A 25,209-nucleotide genomic window follows, 5' to 3' on the forward strand; every position below is an offset into this window, starting at 1 on the left:
TTAGAAATAAATTTCTATCATTTAAACTGCCCAGTCTATGGTATTCCGTTACAGAAGCCCAAATTGACTAAGACAGACACATGTATGTATGACTATCTACACACATATTTTTATCTAGGGCATATTCTGAAGTTGTTTGAGGATGATAGTATTTAGCATGCCTGCTGTGAAGACACCTACATATCATTCATTTTTTTATTTTTATTTTTTATTTTTTTGAGAGGGAGTCTCACTCTCTCATCCAGGCTGGAGTGCAGTGGCGTGATCTTGGCTCACTGAAACCTCTGCCTCCTGGGTTCAAGCGATTCTCCCACTTCAGCCTCCTGAGTAGCTGGGACTACAGGTGCGTGCCACCACGCCTGGCTAATTTTTGTATTTTTGGTAGAGACAAGGTTTCGCCATGTTGGCCAGACTGGTCTCCAACTCCTGATCTCAGGTGATCCACCCACCTCAGCCTCCCAAAGTTCTGGGATTACAGGCTCATTCAGAGGTCTTGACCTTTTAGGAAAAGAAAGTGACCCAAAAAAATTGTCCTGGTTTGTTTTGTGCTGCTACAACAGAATACCACAGACTGGGTAATTTATAATAAACAGGAATTTATTTGACTCACAGTTTTGGAGGCTGGGAAGTCCAAGACTGAGGGGCCACACCTGGTGAGGGCCTTCTTGCTGCACCATCCCTGGCAGAAGGCAGAAGAGTGAGAGAGCCCTTGAAATAGCAAGAGAGGGCTGAACTCACTGAACTATCTAATGAGTGGGTTTGTGATAATGAACCCACTCAGATAGATAGATAGATAGATAGATAGATAGATAGATAAAATAGATGATACTGATCTATTCATGAGAGCAAAGACCTCATGACCTAATCACCTCTTAAAAGTTCCACCTCTCAACACTGTTGCACTTGGGATTAAGTTTCCAACACATGAAGCTTGGGGGAGACCTTCGAACCATAGCAGGAATAAATCAGGTAAGAGGGTGTGTGTCTTGGTCCATTTGTGTCACTATAAAGGAATACTTGAGGCTGGATAATTTATTAAGAAGAGAGGTTTATTTGGCTCATAGTTCTTCAGGCTATACAAAAAATGTTGCACTACCATATGCATCTGGCAAGGGGCTCAGGCTGCTTCTACTCATGACCAAAGGCTAAGAGGAGTTGGTGTGTGCAGAGGTACAGAGATCACATGGCAAGAGAGGAAGCAAGAGAGAGACGGGGGAAGTGCCAGGCTCTTCTTAACAACCAGCTCCTATAGGAACTAATAGAGTAAGAACTTGCTCATTATTCGAGGAGGACACCAAGCCATTCATGAGGGATCTGTCTCCATGACACAAACACCTCCCATTAGGACCCATCTCCAACATTGGTGATCAAATTTCAATGTGAGGTTTGGGGGACAAACATCCAAACTATAGCAGTGGGCAAGAGTGGTGACAATGACTGTGAGGAAAGTAAGATCCAATCCTGCCCTGCGGTGGTACGGCTTAAGGTAATTCAGTGTGATAGACAGATTTTTTTTTTTTTTTTTTTTTTTTTTTGAGATGCAGTCTCGCTCTGTCGCCCAGGCTGGAGTGCAGTGGTGCCATCTTGGCTCACTACAACCTCTGCCTCCTGGGTTCAAGTGATTCTCCTGCCTCAGCCGCCCCAGTAGCTGGGATTACAGGCGCCCGCCACCATGCCCGGCTAATTTTTGTATTTTTTAGTAGAGATGGAGTTTCACCATGTTGGCCAGGCTGGTCTCGAACTCCTGGCCTCAGGTGATCCACGCACCTTGGCCTCCCAAAGTGCTGGGATTACAGGCATGAGCCACCGCACCCAGATTCATAGCTTTTTAAATAACTTTGCCACAAGAGAAAAATTACTGGTGATATGTCTTTGTCCTTGTCTTGTTTTATGTTTTTGTTAATGACTTAAATGGCAACATGGAAAGCATGCTTCATACTCATCAATATCACAAAACTGTGGAAGGTTGCTTGATAATAGACTCAATGTCCAAAAAGTACTCGTTGGCTGGGATGTAAAAATGAAACTTACAAATAAAATTTAATAAAATTATATATTCAACCAGTTAACTAATTAATGTCAGTTAAGATTAAATCAATTGCATATCTAATTTATGCCCAGCTTCTCATGGAAGAAGAAGCATGAGCTAACAGAATGAGGAGGCTGCTAAGAAATTTAACAAAATATTAAACCGTAATAGTAGAAGCGTTTTGTCCAAACTGAAGCAGGAAAAGATAACACTCTTTGTAGCTGTAGTCTTTTCATGCCTGAAATATTATGAGTGAAATCTGGATACCCAACTGTATCAGTCAGTTCTCGTACTGCTATAAAGAAATGCCTGAGACTGGGTAATTTATAAAGAAAAGAGGTTTAATTGGCTCACAGTTCCTCAGGCTGTACAGAAAGCCTAGTGGCATCTGCTTCTGGGGAAGCCTCGGGGAGCTTTTAATCATGGCAGAAGGTAAAGCAGGAGCAGGCGTCCTACACGGCTGAAGCAGGACCTAGAGAGAGGGGGAAGGTGCAACCAGATCTCCTGAGAATTCACTCACTATGCAGTACCAAGGGGGGACGGTGCTAAACCATTCATGAGAACTCCGCCCCCATGAGCCAATCACCTCCTACCAGGACCCACCTCCAGCACTGGGGATTACATTTCAACATGAGATTTGGGTGGGGACACAGATCCAAACCATATCACAAACTTTCAGAGATGCTGAACAGGTAGGCCCTCAGAGGTGGTAGGAAAGAAGGATGAAGAGAGATCTTTGACGAGTTCGGCATGTCAGGGACGTTTATTCAGGAAAAGAGAATCTCTAGGGAGCAAATGCCAGGCATGTTCAGTTCATTGGAAGGGAGGTCATGTGGAAGGTGAGTGTTGTTATTTTGTCTGCCTCCAGAGGGCAGAAATAAAACCAGTGGGAGAAAGTTGTAAGGAGGCAGTTTCAGAAGACCTGGGTTAGAACTACAGTTGTTGATAATAAGCTGTCTCCACAGGAATAGGTTTTCCTTTCCCTGGTGCTGTTCAGACTGAGGCTGGGTCCTTAGTTGTAATTGACATGGGAGCCAAGATTTCTGCTTTGGGAGGGACAGTGGGAGTCTATCAACCTGTGATTTTTAAGAGCCCTGTCAATCATTCAGCTTCTACCTGAATAGTTCTGGTAACTGTGGGACAGATCTCTTTGTTTAAAATGTGTTTTTCTTTAAATAAAACATTGAGCTAAAATTTGCTTATCTTGCCTTGAACAATAGAAAAGGCGGCAAAACCACAGATGTGACTGGTGAAGTTGTTGGAGAAATGTGCTTCACTGAAGTGGCAGTGTTGCTTTTAAAACAAGATGAATTGGCTTTTGGTCAGTGTTCATATTGAAGCTGGTGTCAGATATGGCTCAGGACATTAGAATAAGTAGTAGATGCAAAGAGTTAATGCCTTCTATTTAGGGTCAAGAGTATTATTATTATTATTATTATTTTTGAGATGGAAGTTTGCTCTTGTTGCCCAGGCTGGAGTGCAATGGTGCCATCTCAGCTCACTGCAACCTCTGCCTCCTGGGCTCAAATGATTCTCCTGCCTCAGCCTCCCAAATAGCTGGGATTACAGGTGTCTGCCATCATACCAGGCTAATTTTTGTATTTTTTTTTTTTTTTAAGTAGAGATTGTGTTTCACCATGCTGGCCAGGCTAATCTCGAACTCCTGACCTCAGGTGATCCGCCTGCCTCAGCCTCCCAAAGTGCTGAGATTACAGGCATGAGCCACCATGCCTGGTGGTCAAGAGCAGTTTTTAAGAGTAGGGGCAGAACTGAGCCTGCCTTGGGAACCTAGCAACTCGAGCTATAGGGAGAAGAAGGACATTGAAACTGAGAATGCAGCTGGGTCTTGTAGATATTACGTGTTACTAGTCATAGTGATCTTTGAGAGAGAGTTTCAAATTTAAACATTTTAGACTACAGAAGTGTTCAGAAAAGTTGAATTGTTTGAGACCTTTTCAATGCTAGCTTCAATACTTTCATTCTTTCCTGTGTACTACTGTTGCATTTTTTGATATAAATTATTTGAGATGAAGAAGTATGACTAAGAATCTTTTTAAAATTTGGACTCAGCCTACATTGCATAGGTGGTAGAAGGGTTTAAGAGTCTCTATATTTTGTTATAGGCCTTAACTTCTAGGCATCTTCATTTGGATGTTAACTTTTGTATTTGAGCAAATCTTAAGGTGCTTTTGGAGCAAAGTTTTAGCCAGGACTATAGTTTCATAATTTGGGACCTAGAGCAGCAGATTATGCAGGTTGTCAACACCAGATAGTCATACTCATTGCCTTAGGTTGAGGTCCTTCTTCCTATTCCCAGAACCATGACTCTGGTGTAAGTCTTATCATTTCCAAAGTAGGTTCAGGGCATGCATCTCTGACATGAGCCTTGTTCTATATCCTGCTGCTAAGATAACCTTGAAACCTATTTTAATTACTTCATGCCTCAATAATCCCACAGTGTTCTCACTGTATTAAATCTAAATCCCTCAAAGTATAGGTGAGAGCCCTCTATCACAAATTCCACCTTTTTCTCTGAAGCTTCCAATTCTGTCCTATTAATCCTTTTAAGAAATATATCTTTATTAATTCATTTACTCATTCATTCATTCATTCATTCATTCAAGGAGTAACCAATATTTATTTACTGAGTACCAGGTGCTTGAGTTTTTTAATCCTCACAACAACCTTGACCAGAAGGTTTATTAAAGATCACAATTTAACAAATAAGAAAATTCAGGTTCAGAGAACTTTATGCCCAACATCACTCCTTTTCTCTCATTATGTTCTATGCTCTCTCCAGTGTACCATACTTCCTCTCATTTTGCAAACATTTAATGGGCTTTTTTTCTGTGCCAAAACTGGTGTTAGGTGTTAGGGCAAAGAAGATGAATGAAACACTGAGATCATATATATGAACATGCATGTGAAATTATAAAGCATTATATGAAAATTGAAACTTTTTCTTCTTAATAAGAAAAAATTCAGTCTAGTGGAAGAAACAGGAATAAATAACTTTGTCCTCCAAACTTCCCTTGCCTACTTTTACCTCCTTTGCCAAGCTTGTCCTTCAACCTGAATTTGACCTTTCACATTCTGAAGTTTGCTCACTTACCTAGTCATTCAGATTCTTCCACATACTTTACAATTAATTCATTCACCAAACACAAAGGGGTCTTATATTCAAAGCAGAATTCTAGGTTGATACTAGGGATACAAACATGAACAAAACTCAGTCAAGTGGAAGAGATAAAGTATAACTAACTTCAGGCTGGGCACAGTGGCTCATGCCTATAACCCCAGCACTTTGGGAGCTGGGGCAGGAGGATTGCTTGAGCTCAGGAGTCTGAGACCAGCCTGGGCAACAAAAATGAAAAAAAAAAAAGAAACATTAAAAAAAAATTAGCCAGGCGTGATGGCACACACTAGTAGTCCCAGCTACTTGGGAGGCTGAGGTGGGAGACTCGCTTGAGCCTAGGAGCTTGAAGACGCAGTGAGCTACGATCATGCTACTGCACTCTAGCCTCAGAAAAAAAAAAAAAAAAAAAAGACTAACTTCAGAGCAATGTGAGAACTGACAAGGATTATAAGATTGTGGGGAAAAGAGGTATGAGACTGTAGGGAGGAAAGGAGGGAGTGGTTTTAGCCGGAGATCAAGGATGAGTAAATGATCTTAAATAGGGAAGAAGAAGTATGTTTCAGAGGGAAGGCACGTACAAAGGGACACAGGTACCTTCTGGAGCCATGAGTGATCAGCTGGGCTGAAGGCATGGCACCTGAGGAAGCCAAAGAGTCTGGAGCCAGAGAAGGCATTTGGACTCAAATGGGATCTATTGGATTGTACCCTATTGGCACTAAGGAACTACTGCCTACCCCCCGCCCCGGCTTCTCATGCAGGACTATGACCTAGAATTGGAGTTATGTTATAGAAAGATGGCTTCAAGTTCCCCTTTGAGGAGCTCCACAGTAAATAAGCCATTTAGGAGAGAGGTCCCCATTTCTCTGGACTCACCATTGCCTCCAAAAAAAAAAAAAAAAGGCTAAAATCTCCCCAAAAGAATGGCAAATGAACAAGGGAAGGAAGGAGCTATTTCTTAGTGTTCTTTAGACTTTAACAGAGTATTATGTACTGCTATTATTATTTTTTAGGTTAACAAAAGTAATACATTGTCTCTAGTGACTCCCTGAATGCTCCTTTGTAGCTTAATAGTTGAGGCTGAATGTAGCTATTCAGAATACCTGGACAGCTATGGATGGAAGGGGCTTCTCTAGGCTAACTTTTGCTCTCTTGTCTCCTGAATAATCTGAGGGGTGGCATGGGATGCAGTCTGTTAACCTCTTAGAGCCTGTACAACAGAAATACATTACATTTGACTTAATATGAACTCAACAGTTATTTAATGAGTCCTATTGTGGTCCTTGCACTGTGCTATATTTTACGGATATAAAGATAAAAGTAAGAAACAGTCTTTGTCCCTGAGAAACGCATTGTGAAATAAGGCTGGGTGAGTTGGCTCACGCCTGTAATCTCAACACTTTGGGAGGCCAAGGCGGGAGAATCACTTGAGCGACAGAGTTCCAGACCAGCCTGGGCAACCTATTGAGACCCCCTCTCTTCCAAAAAAGGAAAAAAAAAAAAAAAAAAAAAGGGTGCGGTGGCTCATGCCTGCCCCGTGCCTGCAGTCCCCAAAACAAACAACAACAACAACAAAAAACAAAAAACAAAAAGAAAGAGGAAAGAGAGATTTTAACTTAAGTATAATAAAAATTGCTCATACTATGTTAGTTGTATGAATAAAATGCTGTGGGAAATGTGGGAGTAATATAGCTCACAAGGTTGCTGTGGGGGTTAACAACAACAAAAAGCGAAATATATGTGTAAATGAAAAAAAGTCAGTTTTAGGCTTAATTATCACTGAGTAAACATTGCCTTTATATTACTTTGGCGATCTGCAGAACGCGCAGCCCTCGCCATTCAGGAGTTGTTAGTTCCCTAAGCCTCAGGTTTCTTTAGTCTGGCTGAACCAAAAGGAGTTTCTGCTTAGCTAGGCAGGGCCGGGGGACAACAGCTTCTGCGAGTCTGCGATTGTGGCGGCCGGTATATTCGGCGGTTTACGGTAATGGGCGGGCCCCAAATCCCCATGTGGTCCCGACATCATTGACATGGCGGAATCCCCCATCAAACCCTCCTGGTAGTTATTTGAGCGGCGGCGGCGGCGGCTGGAGGAGGAGAGCGGCGGCGGCGGGAGCAGCGAAGGGGGCGGCAGGGATCCTCCAGGCTGCCGGCTGGGAAGGCGTGGGCGACCCGGTGTGTGGCGCGCCCAGAGCCCCGCGTTTCAGCCCTAGGGAAGGTAAGGCGTGCAAGAGCCGGGGACTAGAGGAGACCGGGACCCCGAGCGCGATCGCCGGGTCCCGGTGCACTGGAAAGCCCCGGCCTGACGCCGAGTCCGCCAAAGTGCGTCCCTGTCCCGGGAGCGCCCTGGGCTTCCCGGCAAAAACTTGGCGCCGGAGTGCTGGGGCGCCCCGTGCTCGCCTGGGCACCCCGGGAACACGGGACCCGGGAGGGGGCGGCCCCCGCCTTGCTGGGCTGGGGTCCCCCGCCTGTGCCCCCTGCCTCAGGGTTTGGAGGAGTGAAAGAAACGGGTAGATTCCTCTTAAAAAAAATTGGGCAGTGGCTCGCGGCCTCCCCCCACCCCCAGCCTTCCCAGCAGATTTTGTCCGAGGAATCCGCTCCCCCTCCCGGAATCTCCGCGGCAGGAACGCTGCCCAGGAGGGGGAGGGCGGGCGGCGAGGCCGAGGAATCTTCGACGTGTCACTTTCTGAGGCTGTAGATTTCCATATGGTGGAGGGAAGAGGGCGGGAGTGCGAAGTGGGGCTGGAAGTTGGGGCCGCCTCTCCGCGCCGGCGGGGGCGGTCGGGGGCCTCGAACCCGGGGATGCTCGCGGGGAGGGTCCCGAGCCCGCGCCGGCCTGGCCCCCCCGTCCCCGGCTGGGCCTCTCCGGGACACTCCCCGCCCCGCTGCTGGCCACCTCCGAGCACGCCACGTCCTCCTCCCCGTCCTGCCCCCCGGGCTCCCCCCGGGCTGGGGGCGGTAACCGGCGGCCGCGGCCGGACTTGGCGAGCCGGCGGCTGGAAGCTCGGGCGGGGGAGCGGGGCGCGGCGGGAAGGAGCGGGCGACCCGGTGTGTGGGCCAGCGGAGCTCCGGTCAGTCGGTCACCCCGAGGGGCGCCTCGGCCGGGGATAGGGCGGGCGGGCGGAATCTGCGCCCCGAGGCGGCCAGGAGGGGCCGCGCGGACCGTCTGGTGCCCGCGGCTGGGCTGGGGCCGGCAGGCGTGGGAAGGGCCTGTCACTCTCGGCAGAAAGTGGGGCCTCGGGCTGTGCCCGCGAACTTTCCCAGAGGTCCGGGTCCCGGCGTCCCGTGGGAACCGGAGGACCCGGGCCCGCCGTCTCGGGAGACTGGGCTGCGCCGCCCGGCGGCGCCTTTGGCGGGGAGGCTTCCAGGAGTGCGCGGTCGGAGTTGGAGCTTTTGGAATCTCAGCTCCCACCCTGCCATCCCAGACGAAGGGAAGCAATGGCATTTTATCCAGACAGTGCCGTTTGCAGACTTCCTTAAAAGTTATAACTTTTTGTTTTCTTTTCTCCTCAACCCAGCATTTTATTTAAACAAAATTTAGAATTTGGCCGCAATGGGCCAACGCTGGGGCCAAAAATCCACAGGTTTCTCTCTCCATCCCTGCTGGTTTCTAGTCCCCCCTCCCCCTCTTCCCTCCCAGGCTTAATCATATTTTGGAACGGGTGAGGTCTTTTGTTGGGTGGGCACCCCCTGATTGCTTGTCTGTTTATTTTTTAATGTGCAACTAATTTGATTTGAATTTCCTTCAGTTTCCAGGCCTTCCTAGGGAAAGCTAAGGGAGAGGGAATATGCTTTTTAAAAATCGTTTTCTTTCTTTCTTTCTTTCTTTCTTTTTCTTTCTTTCTTTCTCCTTCTCTCTCCTTCCTTCCTTCCTTCCTTCCTTCCTTCCTTCCTTCCTTCTCTTCTCCTCCTCCTCCTTCTTGTTCTTGTTCTTCTTCTTTTTTTTTTTTTTAAATAAATGTGGCAGGAGGTGGGGCGTTGGGAATGGGGAGGCACGGTGGTTGTGGGCAAAGAGTCAGAAGGAGCAGACAGACCCGGAAGAAAAGGAATCTGCTCTGGAATAACACTTTTTTTTTGAGGCCTCAGGCCTTGGGCAAAATTGCTTCGCTCTGTAATGATTTCTGCTGCCGGAGTTGCTCCTCCACCCCTAAGTTAAAGCTATGAACCTGGGTGCCCGGGCAACGCCCCACAGTGGATAGCAGCCGGGAGCGCTGGTTTTGTGCCTTTTGTGGGGGCCCTTGGTTCCCCCTCATTGGAGGCTGACTCTGAAATTTACTGGATCAGTAAATTTCCTGGCTCCCTGGGAGCAGCTGTTAACGAGGATAAAGTCTCTGGGCATGTTTCTGGCCCTGCAAAAGGACCTCACCCATGAAGGTACAATTCTCACTTTGTTTAGATACCAGAGGGGCACCCACAGGCTGGCTGAGAATGAGGCATAGTTGATTAAAAAAAAAATCAGTCATTACAAAATTGTTTTTAAACTCACACGTGCTTTTAAAGTGTTGTGGTTTAAATTACTTTAAGATAAAAAAAATTCATCTGTAAGGATAGCGTTCATTTAAAAGATGCTAAAACTGCAGGATCTCATCATGAAATAGGAGGTTGTAGCTTCTAATTACAGTATATACAATTTCAGAAAGATATTCCGGTAATCTTTTAATACAGACTTTATAAATAGCTCACATCAGACGATGGGTTATATTGGAGAGCCAGTCTTCTGCGGTTTCTTGAAGAATGCTTGGGATCTGTGAGGAAGCTCTAGGCCCTTGGAGGCTAGGTAGCAGTTCACTCAGTAGGAGTTTGTGCTCCTTTTGCTCAGTATTTAACCTGGTAGCATTTGATGGATAAGTTCATTAGGAGCTAAGTAGAAGAACTTACCACACTTGTCAGTTTGGAAAATGAGGCCCGGGAAGGGAAAGTGACTTGTTGAGGGTCACCATTATAGACGAAAGTTTAATACAGGATTGTGTTAATAGCTCCTTTCTGGGATATCTGATGTGTACTAAGCACTAATTCCTGTGCTTTTATACATTATCTCATTAAAATTCTAGTATTTTCGATTTAGGTTGTGTTATGCACACTTTACAAACAAGGGGATTGAGATTTACAGAGAGAGAGTAACTTGCATAAGATCACGTAGCTACCAATGGTGTCATCCAATGGAATTTTCTTCAGTGTTGGAAATGGTTCTGTCTGTGCTGTCCAGCATAGCAGCCACAAGCCACATGTAACTGAGTCTTTGAAATGTAGCTAGTGGACTGAGGAACAACAGTTTAAGTTTTTTTTTTTTTTTTTGAAATGGAGTCTCGCTCTGTCGCCCAGGCTGGAGTGAGTGCAGTGGCGCAATCTCGGCTCACTGCAACCTCCGCCTTGCTGGTTGAGATGGATTCTCGCTCTGTAGCCCAGGCTGGAGTGCAGTGGCGCGGTCTCGGCTAACTGCAACCTCCGCCTCCCGGATTCAAGCGATTCTCCTGCCTTAGCCTCCCGAGTAGCTGGGATTACAGGCGCTTGCCACCACGCCCGGCTAATTTTTTGTATTTTTTAGTAGAGACGGGTTTTCACCATGTTAGCCAGGCTGGTCACGAACTCCTGACTTCAGGTGATCCACCCGCCTCGGGCTCCCAGAGTGCTGGAATTACAGGCGTGAGCCACCACACCCGGACTAAGTTTTATTTACTTGTAATTATTTTAAACTTAAATTTCCACTTGTGGCTAGTGGTTACCATATTGGAGAGCAAAGTGTAGAACTTTTTGACTCCCAAATCTTTCACATGTAGCTTGGTCATATTGCTCTTTATTTTACTTTGAGACAGACTCTCGCTCTGTTACCCCGGCTGGAGTGCAGCGGCATGATCACTGGCTCACTCACTGTAGCCTCCACCTCCCAGGCTGAAGTGATCCTCTCCCCTTAGCCTCTCCAGTAGCTGGTACTACAGGTGTGCACGCCACCATGCCAGGCTATTTATTATTATTATTGTTTTTTTGTAGAGACAGGTCTCACTAGGTTGTCCAGGCTGCATACTGCTCTTTAGATCTCTTAGTTCATTTTTCTTTCTTCTACGATATCAGAAGTTACATTCAGCCCTTAAATGGAATTTAAAGACTGAGTTAGCTATAGCTCAACTTTGCTTTCATATGTAGAGTGGATAAAATACGCACATTATTTGTTAACTCTTTGGTTTTAAAAACAATGTTTACATGTCATAGTTAAAACTGGTGGAAAAATCTTTAAATTGTATCTTTTTTGGTTTAATATAGGAATTGTGCATAGGAATTGCTGAAAAAGTAGTCAGAACTTGTTGGTTATTTTAGTGTAATAAGAGTACAAATAGGAAGCAATATGAAAAGTCACTAATAGAAAGCTGAAAAAAACGATCCTCTCATACCCGCGTCCATCCGTTCATTGGACAGTTCTTTTCAGACTTTGTAAGTATCAGTAAACCATTACTCACTTTTCCTTATGTAGCTGCAGAAGTAACCTGAAGAATTAAAATTATTCTTTTACTCTCAGTGTATAGAAATCAAATATCAAACACATTGGATTCATCCATGAATTGGGAAGAATATGTGTAAGATTAAAACAGTAAGAAAGATCTGTCCGATGGCAGATGTTCAAATCATTTTCTGATTAGTGGATTTAATTTAAATTCATTGAATTTTAGAGTTTCATTTGCTAAAAGGAATTTCAACAACTTTCTGATTTTGTATGGAATAGTGAAAATTCCAACTCTTTTTTTTTTTTTTTTTTTGGTGTGCTACCCTCAGGAAAAGGCAAATTATAATGTAATCTCTTTTTATTAGGATTTTTAAGAGGCAACTGCCAGGTTCAGTATAAATATATCTGAATCTATTGTATCTTCCATAGTTATGGTACTGTCCTGGGATAATTGCAGTTCATAGTCTTAACTCTAGACATATCCTGGAGGACCTATGTCTGTAAATTATCTTTGAATTGTTCTATGTTATTTTAGTGTTATGTGAATTACATTGCTTCCAGCTCTTTGAAAATCGTTAATTCAACTGCAGGTAAGGCGTCAGTTACTGAGACTGTTCAGATAACTGAAACATCCTGTTCATACCCATTCCTGACCATTGGGACCACTGTACTATTTTCAAGGATAAGATACCACTGTACTATTTTCAGGATAAGAACCATGTTATAAATAGAATTATAGTGTCCTAGTGAGTGTGACAAATATAGGAAACATGATTTAACCCATGACATATGGTTTGATTTGTAGGACATCCCCAAGTGCTTAATACAAATGAGAAATGTACTATAATCTTAAGGCATAAAGATGTTTAAATGATGGACAAAAATTGAGGGCCACATCTGAGCATCAGTTTGAAATCAGAATATCTCCTCTGTCAAGGAGTGACTTTACTTTCTAGCTGGGTCCTTGATAAGCTTTTGAATCTCTCTGAGTCTGGGTTTCCTCATTTTAATATAAGGAGGAAAGATCTAACTCGTACCTTTTCAAATGGTGTCACAAGGGATTAATGAGTCAGTGTATTGAGAAGTGTTTGGCAAAGCCTTATACAAACTCCATAGTTCATTATATTCCAGAGTTTAAAACTGAGCTGGTGCTATGGTATTTCTCTGCACATTTTCAGAGACCTCCAAATTGTGCTTGGACAGTTTGAAAAATGATTTATTTTTCTCTTTGTGATCAGTAAACAAGGTCCAAGCTTTAGATGTTGTATTTTATTTTACCCCACTCCTAATGGAATAGGTGATTTGTGACCTCTGCAAAGTTGTACTATACATAAGTTGTCCCATATCTGTGTTTTTGGGAAGCTGGTCTGTAGCTGGGCTAGTGTTGCTGAAGTGGGCAGGCCAGGCTTGATTCAGGGCTGTTTTTGAGGTGGCGGGAAAAAGTGCAGTCTCTTAGAGGAACGTTCAGTACTGAATGATAAAGGAATAAGGTTTTAGGCCTTGTATGTTACCTTAGCCTATTACTTGAGCTTTCAGCAATTACAGCTGAGAATGGAAAAGAATCGTATTTTCAGTGTAGGGGAGTCTTTGCAACCTACCTGCCTTTCCACTTTAGAAATCACAATTGCCTTTTCTTCTTGTTAACGAGGTTAATCCATTAAGTGGGATATTTATATGGTAAGACATTATTTTCAAGTAAATTAATTCTCACTCTTAAGGCTGTTGAGAATTCACTTAGGTGGTTGAGGAGAAGCTTTGTACTTTAGTTTACTGAGTGTCTCTCTCTCTCTCTCTCTCTCTCTCTCTATATATATATATACACTTTGCCTTAAAATATATATTATGGTTATGGCATTATGTGTTGTAAAGAGGGAGAGAATGCTTGAATTATTGTGGCTAGATAGGGGCAGGTAGACAAGCACAGGCCCAACTGGAAGGATGACTTGATGGTAGTTGAGCACTTTGCAAGGTACCTCCAGTGAGATGCCAGACCCTAGTAACAAGCTCACCTGGAGGGGAGTTTGTTTGTGGTGCAGGTTTAATGTCAAGGACCAGTTCTTGGAAACAGAAGGTATGTGGGGTGCCAGTTGAAGATCAGGGGACAGAAATGTTTTTAAAACCACCAAGTATAAATCACATAAGATCGATAGACAGTCGTGATCAGCCATCTACATACAGATGAGGATGTTTGTCAGTTTGAAAATGGATCGATTGTTGAATTTTTCTTTGTTTCTCCCCAGTTAAGATATGCAAGTTTAGCATTCTGTAAGTGTTGGATCAGAATTTCTGATGCCCTTGGCACTCACTACTCAGTGTCAGTTTAGACATTGGCTCCTAATTTTTTTTCTTTTTCTTTTTTAAGATACAGTGTTTCACTGCTGCTGGAGTGCAGTGGCTCTATCATAGCTTACTATGGCTTCGAACTCCTGGGCTCAAGTGATCCTTGAGTAGGGCTATAGCTAGGACTATAGGTTCACGCCACCATGCCTGGCTAATGTTTTTTTTTTTATTTTTATAGAGACAGGGTTTCACTTTGTGGCTCAGGCTGGTCTCTAACTTCTGGCTTGAAGCAATCCCCCCGCTTCAGCCTCCCAAAATGTTGGGATTATAGGTTATGAGCCACCTTGCCCGGCCCTGTTTTGTTTTTATAATATCATTAAAATACCTCATCAGTTTCAAATAACCATTTTGCAGGGTGGTAGGGGATTTTTCTGAGATGGTGTTGAGTCACAGTGTTATTTGAGGTTCTAGTAAGTATCAAAGTGTGTCTTGTGTTAAATGATTCTATTTGAGCTTAAAATGTAATTTCATTTCAGTTACTTGTTTATTGACTCAGAATGCATTTGTTGAGATCTAGACCAGGTTCTTTGTTAATGGAATGTTCTACTCTGTTCTGATGTTTTTGGAATCTTGTATAGAGAACAGTGTCTACCACCAAACTCCTAAGGCTGGATGGTGGTAAGTTCAACTCTTTGCTACCTTCTGAAATTTGAGAAATAGTAAAATTGGAGCACCTTCAGGCTGTGTTAGACTTTAAGGCTTCTAAATTATATTAGAATGTAAGGATACATCTTTGTTTTGACCCTGGAAAGAGTAGTAAAGATTTTCATAAAGGCCAACTAGTCATAAAAACTTACTTAAATTGACATGATCCTAACTCACAATTATGAAAAGCTTTCTGTTGAAATAATTGTGTAGAAAGTGATCTTTATACATGAACAAAGGTGGGATGTTTTAGAAATAATTGAAGATTCTAAGATCCCAGGAAATATAATGGTTTAATTTATTTTTAAGGGATTTAAGATTCCCCATAGCCTATGAAAGAGGGGTCTCTATTAAAAATAACGCCATTGTTCTAGATGTAGCTAATTAGGGATTTGCAATTATCTAGGCAAGGCTAGGATAAAGTTTGGCTGCCTATTCTGTATGAAAAGGTTTTACTGTAAATATCAAGTTTAAATAGATCTTAAGAGGAATATTTACCTAATTAAAAGAACAAACCACTTTTAAGCACCTTGGGAAAATCAATTTACTTAAAAGCAGTGTAAAAATGCAGAATGCATTCACTGATGCTGGTCTGCTGGTGGTCTTTTCATAGAGATACAGGAGCCCCTGGAAAGTCAGTGCTCTCTGTGGATTGCCATGAAATAAATATTGATTGACTCAATGCTATTATGTGAACTACAAACAGTTTACCAGCAATGGGTAGAACTATATTATTTGCTTGCAAAATACATCACAACAATAAACACAATATCTGCCTCCCCCACCCCACTCCACTCTACCAATAGACTCCAACTATGCCTATTTATTGGTTTTGGAGTTTTTCTATTGACATTTGTTTTGCTACTTGTTAACTTCTTTTGTCATGTGTAAGCATTTGATGGCAGATTGGGGACAGCAGGTGTTAAAGGTTTAAGAGCATCATTATTGCTTTTAGCTTCATTTCTTCTGCCTTTGTGTTTGGGCAAGATTGTGGAGAGTCCTGAGTTTAGTATTTAGATAAGGTAATTACATGTCCTTCTCCTCTACTTTTACTAAAGCAAGATCCTCCTGGGCAGCTTAGTTCCAGGTACTGTATGAACTTGCCAGTAATAAGAGTAAGTTTCTTTTAAAAGATTTCTGGATATTTTACGTTTTATACTCAGTCACTCAGATGCGAGGTTTTCTAGTATGTGTCTACTTAGGGGTCAGATTTGACCAGTTTTTAACAGTACAAGTTGTACATATAGGATACTTAATGTATTTCTAGGATATTATGCTTCATTTTCTCTTAGTATTTTAAAGGTTTTAAAAAACCCATTCTATACCTTCTATATCTTTTATTGTTTAAGTCATTCAATGGGAAAGAAAATAATAAAAGTCTTTAGATGCTGTTTCTGATTTTTCGATCATGGTTTTTTTAATCTCAAGAAAAATAATTCTGATTAAGAAATAGAGGTAAACATTATTCTGAAGTAGTGAATTAGAGAATACTTAAATATATTGAGCTGGAATCCTTGTGTATTGCATGTTGGGAATGTTAAATGATAAAGCTACTGTGGAAAACAGTTCTGTAGTTCATAAATATTTACACATAGAATTACTATATGATTCAGCAATTCCATTCCTATTCCTATACGCAAAAGAAAGCAGGGACTCAGGTACTTAAAAGCCAGTGTTTATAGCAGCATTATTGACAATACCTAAAAGGTAGAAACAACCCATGCCCATCAACAGATGAATGGATAAACAAAATATGGTATTATATATTGGAATATTTTGGTACAGTGGAATATTATTCAGCCATAAAAAAGAAGGCAGTTCTAATACATGCCATAACATGAATGAATCTTGAAAACATTATGCTAAGTGAAATAAGCCGGACACAAGAAGATAAATATTGTATATATCCACTTGCATGAGATGACTAGGATAGGTAAATTCATAGAGACAAAAAGTAGAATAGAGATTACCAGGGCTTGGGGGAAGGGAAGATGGAGAGATAGTGTTTCATGGGTTTAGAATTTCTGTTTGGGATGATAAAAAATTTCTGGAAATGAACAGTGGCGATGGTTGTACAACATTATGAATGTATGTAATGCCACTAAGTTGAATGCAGAAAATGGTAAATTTTTTGTTATGTATATTTTATGACAATTAAAAAATGCAAAAGTAAATATTGAAGATGTATCCTACACAGTCTCCATATGCCTCTTTACTCCCCCTTGGTCTGCTTCAGGCAGGTATATAGTTATTTTTTCTTCATCTGGCTGTTGCAGTGTAAATGGAGATTTCCCTAGGCCATTTTTTGGAGATCAGAGAGTTTCCTTATTTTATTAACTGACTTAAATTTAAGAGGAAAATGTTTAAAAGTAGATCTCTGGAGGGGAAAAAAGGGCATTTTAATATTGAGATGAATCAGGGAGTTTGTTAATATTGGCAGACCATGTAAGCACATGAAGATAATCTATCCTGAATAGCACAGCGAGTCATTTAGAAATCCAGTAGTAGGTGTACACTCGGACCTGTCACATTTTCTAACCTTTAAACATTGTTTTTTGTTTCTTTTTTTTGAGATAGAATTTCGCTCTTATTGTCCAGGGTGGAGTGCAATGGCGCGATCTCGGCTCACCCTGACCTCTGCCTCCCAGGTTCAAGCGATTCTTCTGCCTCAGTCTCCCGAGTAGCTGAGATTACAGGCATGCACCACCACCCCTGGCTAATTTTGTATATTTAGTAGAGACAGGGTTTCTCCATGTTGGTCAGGCTGGTTTCAAACTCCTGACCTCAGGTGATCTGCTCGCCTCTACCTCCCAAAGTCCTGGGATTATAGGCATGAGCCACCGTGCCTGGCCTAACCTTTAAACATTTTATTCATTCTTGACATCATTAGTACTGTGGAAAAACTTTGATTTCTGTTTAAGAGAAATGGTGTAAGTCATCTCTGTACTCATGTTGGAAATGCATTAGGTGTTAGAATTCTTTAGTTCCTTAGACTGTAAAACCAAGTTACAAAAGGGATAGAGTGAAAGAAAACACATAAATTCTGTTTTATTCATCTGAACTTGTCTCTGGCATCTAATGATTGCATAGTAGGTTCTGCTCCCTCTGTTTTTTTTTTGTGAGGTATTTGATGTTGAGTATAGTTGGATCATTTACCAAAAGATGGGCAAGATTTTCATTAAGTGATGGGATACCAAAGCCTAAACGTCGGATGAAAAGTATGTATACTCAAAATGTCAGATAAAAATTCTAATGGAAAGATTTAAATTCAAATGCAGGTAAGTTCTTAAGGAAAATTACATACCATTTACTACCACAAAATGTTTACCATTCATTCCAGAACTCCTGGAAAACAGTGTCAGATTGCAAGGGTGTGATAGTAATGTGTACATGTACTCTCTGTGGGTATATTTTCTTTTTTTTTTTTAAGATGGTGTCTCACTCTGTCACCCAGGCTGGAGTGCAGTGGCACGATCTTGGCTCACTGCAACCTCCGTCTCCTGGGTTCATGTGATTCTCCTGCCTCAGCCTCCGGAGCAGCTGGGATTACAGGCACGTGCCACCATGCCTGGCTAATTTTTGTGTTTTTAGTAGAGATAGGGTTTCACCATGTTAGCCAGACTGGTCTTGAACTCCCAACCTCAGGTGATCCACCTGCCTCAGCCTCCCAAAGTGCTGGGATTACAGGCATGAGCCACCACGCCCAGCCTTTGTGGGTATATTTTCGTGTGTGTGTGTGTGTGTGTGTGTGTGTGTGTGTATAGTGTGTATATATACTATATATACTCTTTATATAGTGTGTGTGTATATATATTGCTGTATATATAAATGGCTTGATACAAATTCCACTCAATGAGCTTTTCATACCATAGCTGTCATTTTTGTGGCCTACTAATTTCTCTGGCGGTAGGATCATTACGGATATCAAAAGGTATTGAGAGTCATGGTCTCCTCATATCCAGGAGTGATACGAAGAATTATTACATTGCATTTAGAATGCTCTTAAATGATTTTGGCCTATTCAAAAGAAAATGATCTCCCCTTTTCTTTGCATATCCTTGTTATGTTCCAGAGCCATCATTTTAGATAACTTATCATTTTCTTTCTTCTTTTTTTTTTTTTTTTGGAGATGGAGTTTCACTCTTGTTGCCCAGGCTGGAGTGCAATGGCGCGATCTCGGCTCACCGCAACCTCTGCCTCCCGGTTTCAAGCAATTCTTCTGCCTCAACCTCCCAAGTAGCTGGGATTACAGGCATGCGCCACCATACCTGGCTAATTTTGTATTTTTTTTTTTTAGTAGAGATGGGGTTTCTCCTAACTTAACATTTTCTTAAATATCTTCTAGCACTTTATCTGTACTTTTCAGAAGACTTGACTTTTTCATTGTTGTCTAATAGTCTCCTTGTCTCCCTTATTTGTGAGTAGGGATGATTTCTGATTTAACTTGGGGTCTTTTAATCGTGGGTACACAGTAAATATTCATTTGATGGCTGGGTAGCTGGATCCCTAGTTTGAATGTGCCATTTAAACTTAGCACCTTTCAATAAGAATGATACAGTGGACTTTGGGGACTCAAGGGGAAAGGTTGGGAAGAGGGTGAGGGATAAAAGACTACAAATTGGGTTCAGTGTGTACTGCCCAGGTGATGGGTGCATCAAAATCTCATAAATCACCGCTAAAGAACCTACTGTCTTTGGAACATGGCCTATATTTGAGGCATTTTTGTGTTTCCATGGTGTTCTTCAGTTTTTTCCTCAAAGTAGGGAACTAATAAATATTTAATTGAACAAATGAAGATGAAAGGCATGAGTCACCTGTAGTGCAAACCTAGCTTTTTATTCATTGCTATTTTAAAGAAATGAATGTTCTTCAGAGAATACATGACTTTTTTCATGTTTCTATTAGATTGTGAATTGATTTGGAAAATTCGAACAAAAAGCAGTATTTATGTTCCATGAAAATATGGGCCCTCAATTATGTACATTTTGTTTGTTTATTGGAGTCAGTTCAAATTATAAGTTAAGGGAATTATTTTTTAAAATAATGTAACTTTTCAGAGATTTGTGGTAGTTTTAAATGATCCTTTTTAAAAATAATCTTTGTCTGTCTTCTTCTTTTTTTTTTTTTTGAGACAGGGTCTGGCTCTGCTGCCCAGGCTGGGGTGCAGTGGCATGATCTCTGCTTACTGCAGCCTCCGCCTCCTGGGCTCAAGTGATCCTTCCACCCTCAGCCTCCCACGTGAATGCCACTATGCCCAGATAATTTTTGTGGGTTTTTTTTTTTGGTAGAGATGGGGTCTTGCCATGTTACCCAGGCTGGTCTGGAAGTCTTGGGCTCAAGCGATCCGCCCACCTTGGCGTCCCTAAGTGCTGGGATTACAGGCATGAGCCACACCTGGCCTTAAATGATCCTTTTATAAGTGAAATTCTAGAAAGGACATTTTAAGGGACAGAAACCCTCTCCTCCCCCAAATGTGCCTTGCTGAGCTGTTGGAGGCCCAGCTGAAAGAGTTGATTCTGTCCAAGTGTTGGTTAGTGCTAAACTAAGCCATGGAGAAAGGGTCAAAGAGCATGCCTTGGAAAGAACTTGAGGAGAATGACCTCAGCTATTTGCAGGGGGAGTTAAAGACTGTTAAGAGAAGAATCTCCTGGGACATTATAGGGCTGTGTGTTTGGAGAGGGGCGGTGCCTGTGAGGCTCTTGTTCTTTAGATCTGGGGTGGGATCTGGAAATCCTTATCAAGTGTTTCAGGTGAATTATATGATCAGACAAGTTTGGGGAACTCGGAGTTGGGGAGTTGGCCCTCTTGGTAATCTGTCCCTATAAGGTTTTCAATCTAATGGCTGGAAAGAGGTGAGAATAGTGCTTAGATTAAAGGACTCCAGTTAGGAGATAGGGCAAAATTGAAGGTTTTAATCATCATATTCCTTGGAGTAAAATGATAGCCAGCTATTGGCAGTTTTATTTAGAAATGAGGACACTTTTGTGCACTGTACTTCCAAACCCTCTGACCACAAGGCAGATGTAAAATACAGTAATAGTGGCCAACAATTTTCCAGCACTCACTACTTGCCAGGCATTTTCATGTAAATATGTATTCCATCCATATGTATATTCTGTGTGTGTCTGTGTGTATACATCCATTTATCTATATACAAACACACTTTCCTTAAAAAGTAATTCTGGAAGATATTCTGTTTTTCTGTAGGTGTTTCTAGTGTCCACCGCAGAAGCTGGTACATATTGAGTGCCCCCATAAGTGTTTATTGAGTGAATCAAAGATGAGAAGGCATACTCAAAAACATTAAAAAACTTTCCTAAGTCACTTAGAGTGATTTTAAAACTTTTTTTTAACTGTATCACACTGCTTCTCGATAGTTCAAGTTAATTATCTTATTTGTATCTCTAGACTTGGTACAGTGTCTGTGTTCCCAGGTGGCTGAATACTAAGGCTAAATATTAGCTGAATGCCTTCCATGTGCTCAACCTGTCTATTGTCTAGAAAACTAAAATCTAGGCTGGGCACAGTGGCTCACGCCTGTAATCCCAGCACTTTGGGAGGCCAAGGCAGGCAGATCACCTGAGGTCAGGAGTTTGAGACACACCTGACCAACATGGTGAAACCCCATCTCTACTAAAAATACAAAAATTAGCCAGGCGTGGTGGCGGGCACCTGTAATCCCAGCTACTCAGGAGGCTGAGGCAGGAGAATCATTTGAACCTGGGAGGCGGAGGTTGTAGTGAGCCGAGACTGCGCCATTGCCCTGCACTCCAGCCTAGGTGACAGGGCGAAACTCCGTCTCAAAAAAAAAAAAAAAAAAAATCTTCTTTTGAAACAATATTCTGGACATTTTCCAAGAGGGAGATTTTCCTAGATTGTTCTCTGTAGTAGCAACTTAAGCTTAGAATGAAAGAAACCAGAGGATAAAAGTGTACTTCATAGAAAGTAATGTATAAGAAGCACAATGGAGTGAATGGGAAAAATTTGAGACAGTTGGTTAAGAAATGGTAGTGAAGCTTTACCTTATTCGGACACTTTAAACACTCTATGAAAGGGAGTCCTTTTACTCACTGGTAAAACAGTTCTGTTCATCCGCAGTGCCTTTCATTTCAGTTAATAAGAGTAAGATGCTGTACCTATAATTTGCACCTGGAAAAGCAAATCCTCCTATTCCTAATACTAACTGTTTTTCTCCTTTTAAGGTTAATACTTTTAGGTGGTGTAGGTTGTACCCAAGGCAGCCACAGGGATGGGATGAGCAAAGGACTAGAGGGTGTCTATCTCTGAGAACTCAGAAAGCAGCTCCTGCAGTTAATTAAAGGTGACCTCAGGATTCAGAGGAACCTTGTGCTTTCCCAGACGGCCCAGGCTAAACCTGGGTAGCTGGCAACCCTAAATGCGTCCTTTGTTAGAAATCATGTAGGGCTCGACTCCATCTTTAGAAAGTGAGTTCACTGAAGGTGAGTTAAGGACAAGGCTCTGAAGAGCGGCCTGACTTGCTTTCTTTCCTTGTGTTTGTGGAGGGGTGTAGACAAAGACACTAAGTGAAGATGCAGCCCCCAAGGCTGTATTGCCTAAAAACCGTTTCTGGCTTCTTCACAGGAATATTCCTCGTGGTCTAGAAGGAGCTATGTGCTTCTCTGGAGATTGTTTCCACAGAATGGTGAGGACTGTTAGAACCACCTTCTCCTTTCTCTCCTGTCTCAGGAGGGAGGCTGTAAGTGCTAAAAATGCCCCTGAACAGGGGGGTAGGGGGTGCAGCACCTCCAGAGAAGTGGTACTTAATGCTGGCTGCCCACCTGACCCCTCTCTCTATAGTTGGAGGCTGGGGAAGCCTTTGCCTCCTTCCAGCTTTCAGGACTTGCTGTGGTAGGTCCTCATGATGCAGATTACCATAGCACTCAACTACTTCTTAAGAGTACATAGTTTCTTAAATATCAATATTATACCTCAAGAGGTAAAGAGAACAGTTTTAAGCATCTATCAAAGGAGGAATAGATTGTAATTTTAGGATCTGAGTGTTTTATTTCCTTATATTTCTTTAAAATTGCTTGGACTCTCTTCTCTCTAACCTCACACTTTCACCACCATCACCAAAATTTGCTTTGTATTTATACTCATTTTTAAATAAATTACTATAAAGTCAGTAATTTGGAGTCTCTTCGGAAGTTCATCTTTAAAAAATCCTCCTTCTTTTAAAGTGAAGTGGGAGGAGAAGAAATGGATAACAATTTTTAAGGTTTATATTTTATTTCCGGCTTTGTTTAGCAATACATATCTTAATGTACTATACAATTTCTTCACTAATGAAAAAACATAATTATTTCCAGTTTTATTTGATTTTGGACCTATTTTCTTGCTATGTGATTATTGTCCTGTATCTTTAATTACATCTTATTGACACCCGTGGCAATCTCAATAATTAGAAAACATAGCTTTTTAGCTTTTACCATTTGCTTATTATATTCAATTTAAACAGGGAAACAGTGTCACTTCCTGTTTATGTTTCACTTTGCAGTTCTCTTAAATTAGTTCAGTGTTCTCAGGAGTTCATTCAAACCTATGAGGGCATACTAGTTGACAAAAAAGAGAACAGAGGATTCAAATAAATGTCTCTAATAGATTATTTTAGCTTCATTTAGTGTGATTTTGGGTCTGAAGTGTTTGCCATTAACGTTCTAGTTGCATGTTTGTCTTCCTTGCTTTCGTGAGGAGCAGGGGCAGTGGGAGTGAGTAGGGGAGAACAGGCGATGGCTAGGGAAGGATGTAGCACTGATGAAGGTGAGTGAGTTTGTTCCTAGTATGTTTCTTTCTTTTTTTTTTTTAGACGGAGTCTTGTTCTGTCGCCCAGGCTGGAGTGCAGTGGTGCGATCTCGGCTCACTGCAAGCTCTGCCTCCAGGGTTCACTCCATTCTCCTGCCTCAGCCTCCTGAGTAGCTGGGACTATAGGCGCCCGCCACCACGCCCGGCTAATTTTTTGTATTTTTTAGTAGAGACGGGGTTTCACCATGTTAGCCAGGATGGTCTCAGTCTCCTGACCTCGTGATCCGCCCGCCTCGGCCTCCCAAAGTGCTGGGATTACAGGCGTGAGCCACTGCGCCCGGCCTGTTCCTAGTATGTTTCATGTGGGATGGCAGGTTTTCCAAATCCTAGTTTCCACTGAGTCATCGGTGAGTCCAATAGAGGGAGGATTCTAGCCTGATGTCAGACGTCCTGCTTGGCAGACTAATGAAGGACTTTTTTTTTTTAAAAAATGTATTTTTAACACAGATTGGTGTATTTGTATATCTTCAGTAAGTTTCAGTTTTAGCCAAGAAATAATCTTTCATAACATTTTTCATGAGAAAGCATAGAATGATTTTCTAGAAAGTTTAATGGCAAGTTGTGTTAGATGAAAAGGAAACATTTTTAAGGACACTATGCTTCTTGGGTATTCTTGAGCCCTTGTCTATAGATAATAGCCGGTTACAATGTACAGTTTTCATATTTGGAGGGGACATGGGAAACTACTCACTTAACTTGGAGTTAATATTTTGGTGCTCTGGAAACATCTGAGTTTGGAACTGTGCTGTGCACATCTCTAACTGGTTTAATTGCCCAGTCTCTCAGTGTCTTAGCACTCTCAGTGTTTTATGCTCAATCTCTGTGTCTTGTTATGACTATTTGGCTCAACGTAGTGTTTTGAACTAGTGATTAGGAAGTGGTAGCTGCTGCTGTTTTATTATTTTATTGCTTTACTCTGTGACTACAGACAGATTTAATTGTTGGATGTATTTCTTAATGGGATAATTATTTAAAAACATTCCCAGTTACTTTAAAAGCGTATGTGAATATTAGCCATCAGTTTTGTCTTGACCTTGCCTTTGGCTCCTTGAGTGTCTCTGTTCATGTGACAGCTTTCCAGCTCATCCTTAATGTCATACTCGAGCTGTTTATCTTAGTGAGGTAGTGTGGGCCTAAAATGAAATAATATATATCAAAAGCACCTGTGGGGGAAAGCACATCTGAATGCCAAGCAGTACTTAGTTACTGCAAGTGCTACTTCTACCAATATTTTTCTTCCTTTCTGCCCCTTTAAAGAGAGGTTGTCCCTTTTTAATAGATATATGACAGCTCTGCTTCCTTTCTTAAGTCTAAGATCAAAGAAATGTTGTAATAAAGGGGAGTCACTCCCTCCCATTCCTTCTCTCTTTTTGTGGATGTTGTTCTGTTTTTTAAGAGCGATCAGGTCTTGACATTAGTGGATGCAGCTGTTGGGCTCCCAAGCTCTGCCTTTCATCTCTGGGTCACCACTGCAGACAGCATCCTTCATCTCTGTCATGGTGTAAAGACACCACTGTGGGGGAACAGTGCGTTGCAGGTTAAGTACATGAAGTATTTCTAGAGATCCTAGCCACCTTTGCCGTTCATTGTTGTTTGGATGCACTTTTCTTTGAAATGACATGGAATGTTTGGCAGAGATGTCAATCAATAGAAGAGTTTCTCTGCTTTAGAGGTACCTAAACCTCACCAACTTCTTGTAAATTGGAAGACTAGCTCCAAAAAAGTAAAAGGGGTTGGGGGGAAGAACAAAACTTTTACTGGCAGGTTTTTTTCTAGACATAAACACAGTTGAATGGAAAGGATAAT

General features: G+C 42.0%; 1 protein-coding gene across 7 annotated transcripts in view, besides 10 other annotated features; it reads left to right on the forward strand.

Moving 5' to 3' along the window:
* Window positions 3,881-3,940: an enhancer, noted in NCBI's record as "active region_20816". NCBI's record gives its function as "activates an Ori minimal core promoter by ATAC-STARR-seq in GM12878 lymphoblastoid cells {active_cell/tissue: GM12878}" and the evidence as "EXISTENCE:reporter gene assay evidence [ECO:0000049][PMID:35858748]".
* Window positions 7,004-7,671: an enhancer, noted in NCBI's record as "NANOG-H3K27ac-H3K4me1 hESC enhancer chr3:171757188-171757855 (GRCh37/hg19 assembly coordinates)". NCBI's record gives its function as "activates a minimal SCP1, AML or CMV promoter by ChIP-STARR-seq in naive H9 embryonic stem cells {active_cell/tissue: H9 hESC(naive)}" and the evidence as "EXISTENCE:reporter gene assay evidence [ECO:0000049][PMID:30033119]".
* Window positions 7,004-7,676: a biological region, named in NCBI's record as "NANOG-H3K27ac-H3K4me1 hESC enhancer GRCh37_chr3:171757188-171757855".
* Window positions 7,184-25,209, forward strand: part of FNDC3B (fibronectin type III domain containing 3B) — a 362,092-nt gene continuing 344,066 nt past the window's right edge. For 4 of the 7 annotated variants that reach the window (XM_024453717.2, XM_047448756.1, NM_001135095.2 and 1 more), the window contains exon 1: window positions 8,137-8,230. The gene's annotated coding sequence lies outside the window, so the exon portion shown is untranslated. Of the gene's footprint in view, window positions 7,378-8,136; window positions 8,231-25,209 lie in introns of those variants that run through there. The other 3 variants (NM_022763.4, XM_017007062.2, XM_017007064.3) reach the window with 1 other exon arrangement.
* Window positions 7,257-7,436: a silencer, noted in NCBI's record as "silent region_14895". NCBI's record gives its function as "represses an Ori minimal core promoter by ATAC-STARR-seq in GM12878 lymphoblastoid cells {active_cell/tissue: GM12878}" and the evidence as "EXISTENCE:reporter gene assay evidence [ECO:0000049][PMID:35858748]".
* Window positions 7,577-7,676: a silencer, noted in NCBI's record as "silent region_14896". NCBI's record gives its function as "represses an Ori minimal core promoter by ATAC-STARR-seq in GM12878 lymphoblastoid cells {active_cell/tissue: GM12878}" and the evidence as "EXISTENCE:reporter gene assay evidence [ECO:0000049][PMID:35858748]".
* Window positions 7,672-8,338: an enhancer, noted in NCBI's record as "NANOG-H3K27ac-H3K4me1 hESC enhancer chr3:171757856-171758522 (GRCh37/hg19 assembly coordinates)". NCBI's record gives its function as "activates a minimal SCP1, AML or CMV promoter by ChIP-STARR-seq in naive H9 embryonic stem cells {active_cell/tissue: H9 hESC(naive)}" and the evidence as "EXISTENCE:reporter gene assay evidence [ECO:0000049][PMID:30033119]".
* Window positions 7,672-8,536: a biological region, named in NCBI's record as "NANOG-H3K27ac-H3K4me1 hESC enhancer GRCh37_chr3:171757856-171758522".
* Window positions 7,857-8,106: a silencer, noted in NCBI's record as "silent region_14897". NCBI's record gives its function as "represses an Ori minimal core promoter by ATAC-STARR-seq in GM12878 lymphoblastoid cells {active_cell/tissue: GM12878}" and the evidence as "EXISTENCE:reporter gene assay evidence [ECO:0000049][PMID:35858748]".
* Window positions 8,167-8,536: a silencer, noted in NCBI's record as "silent region_14898". NCBI's record gives its function as "represses an Ori minimal core promoter by ATAC-STARR-seq in GM12878 lymphoblastoid cells {active_cell/tissue: GM12878}" and the evidence as "EXISTENCE:reporter gene assay evidence [ECO:0000049][PMID:35858748]".
* Window positions 23,014-23,143: an enhancer, noted in NCBI's record as "active region_20817". NCBI's record gives its function as "activates an Ori minimal core promoter by ATAC-STARR-seq in GM12878 lymphoblastoid cells {active_cell/tissue: GM12878}" and the evidence as "EXISTENCE:reporter gene assay evidence [ECO:0000049][PMID:35858748]".

Source organism: Homo sapiens, chromosome 3 (genome assembly GCF_000001405.40).
Source record: "Homo sapiens chromosome 3, GRCh38.p14 Primary Assembly".
NCBI lineage: Eukaryota > Metazoa > Chordata > Mammalia > Primates > Hominidae > Homo > Homo sapiens.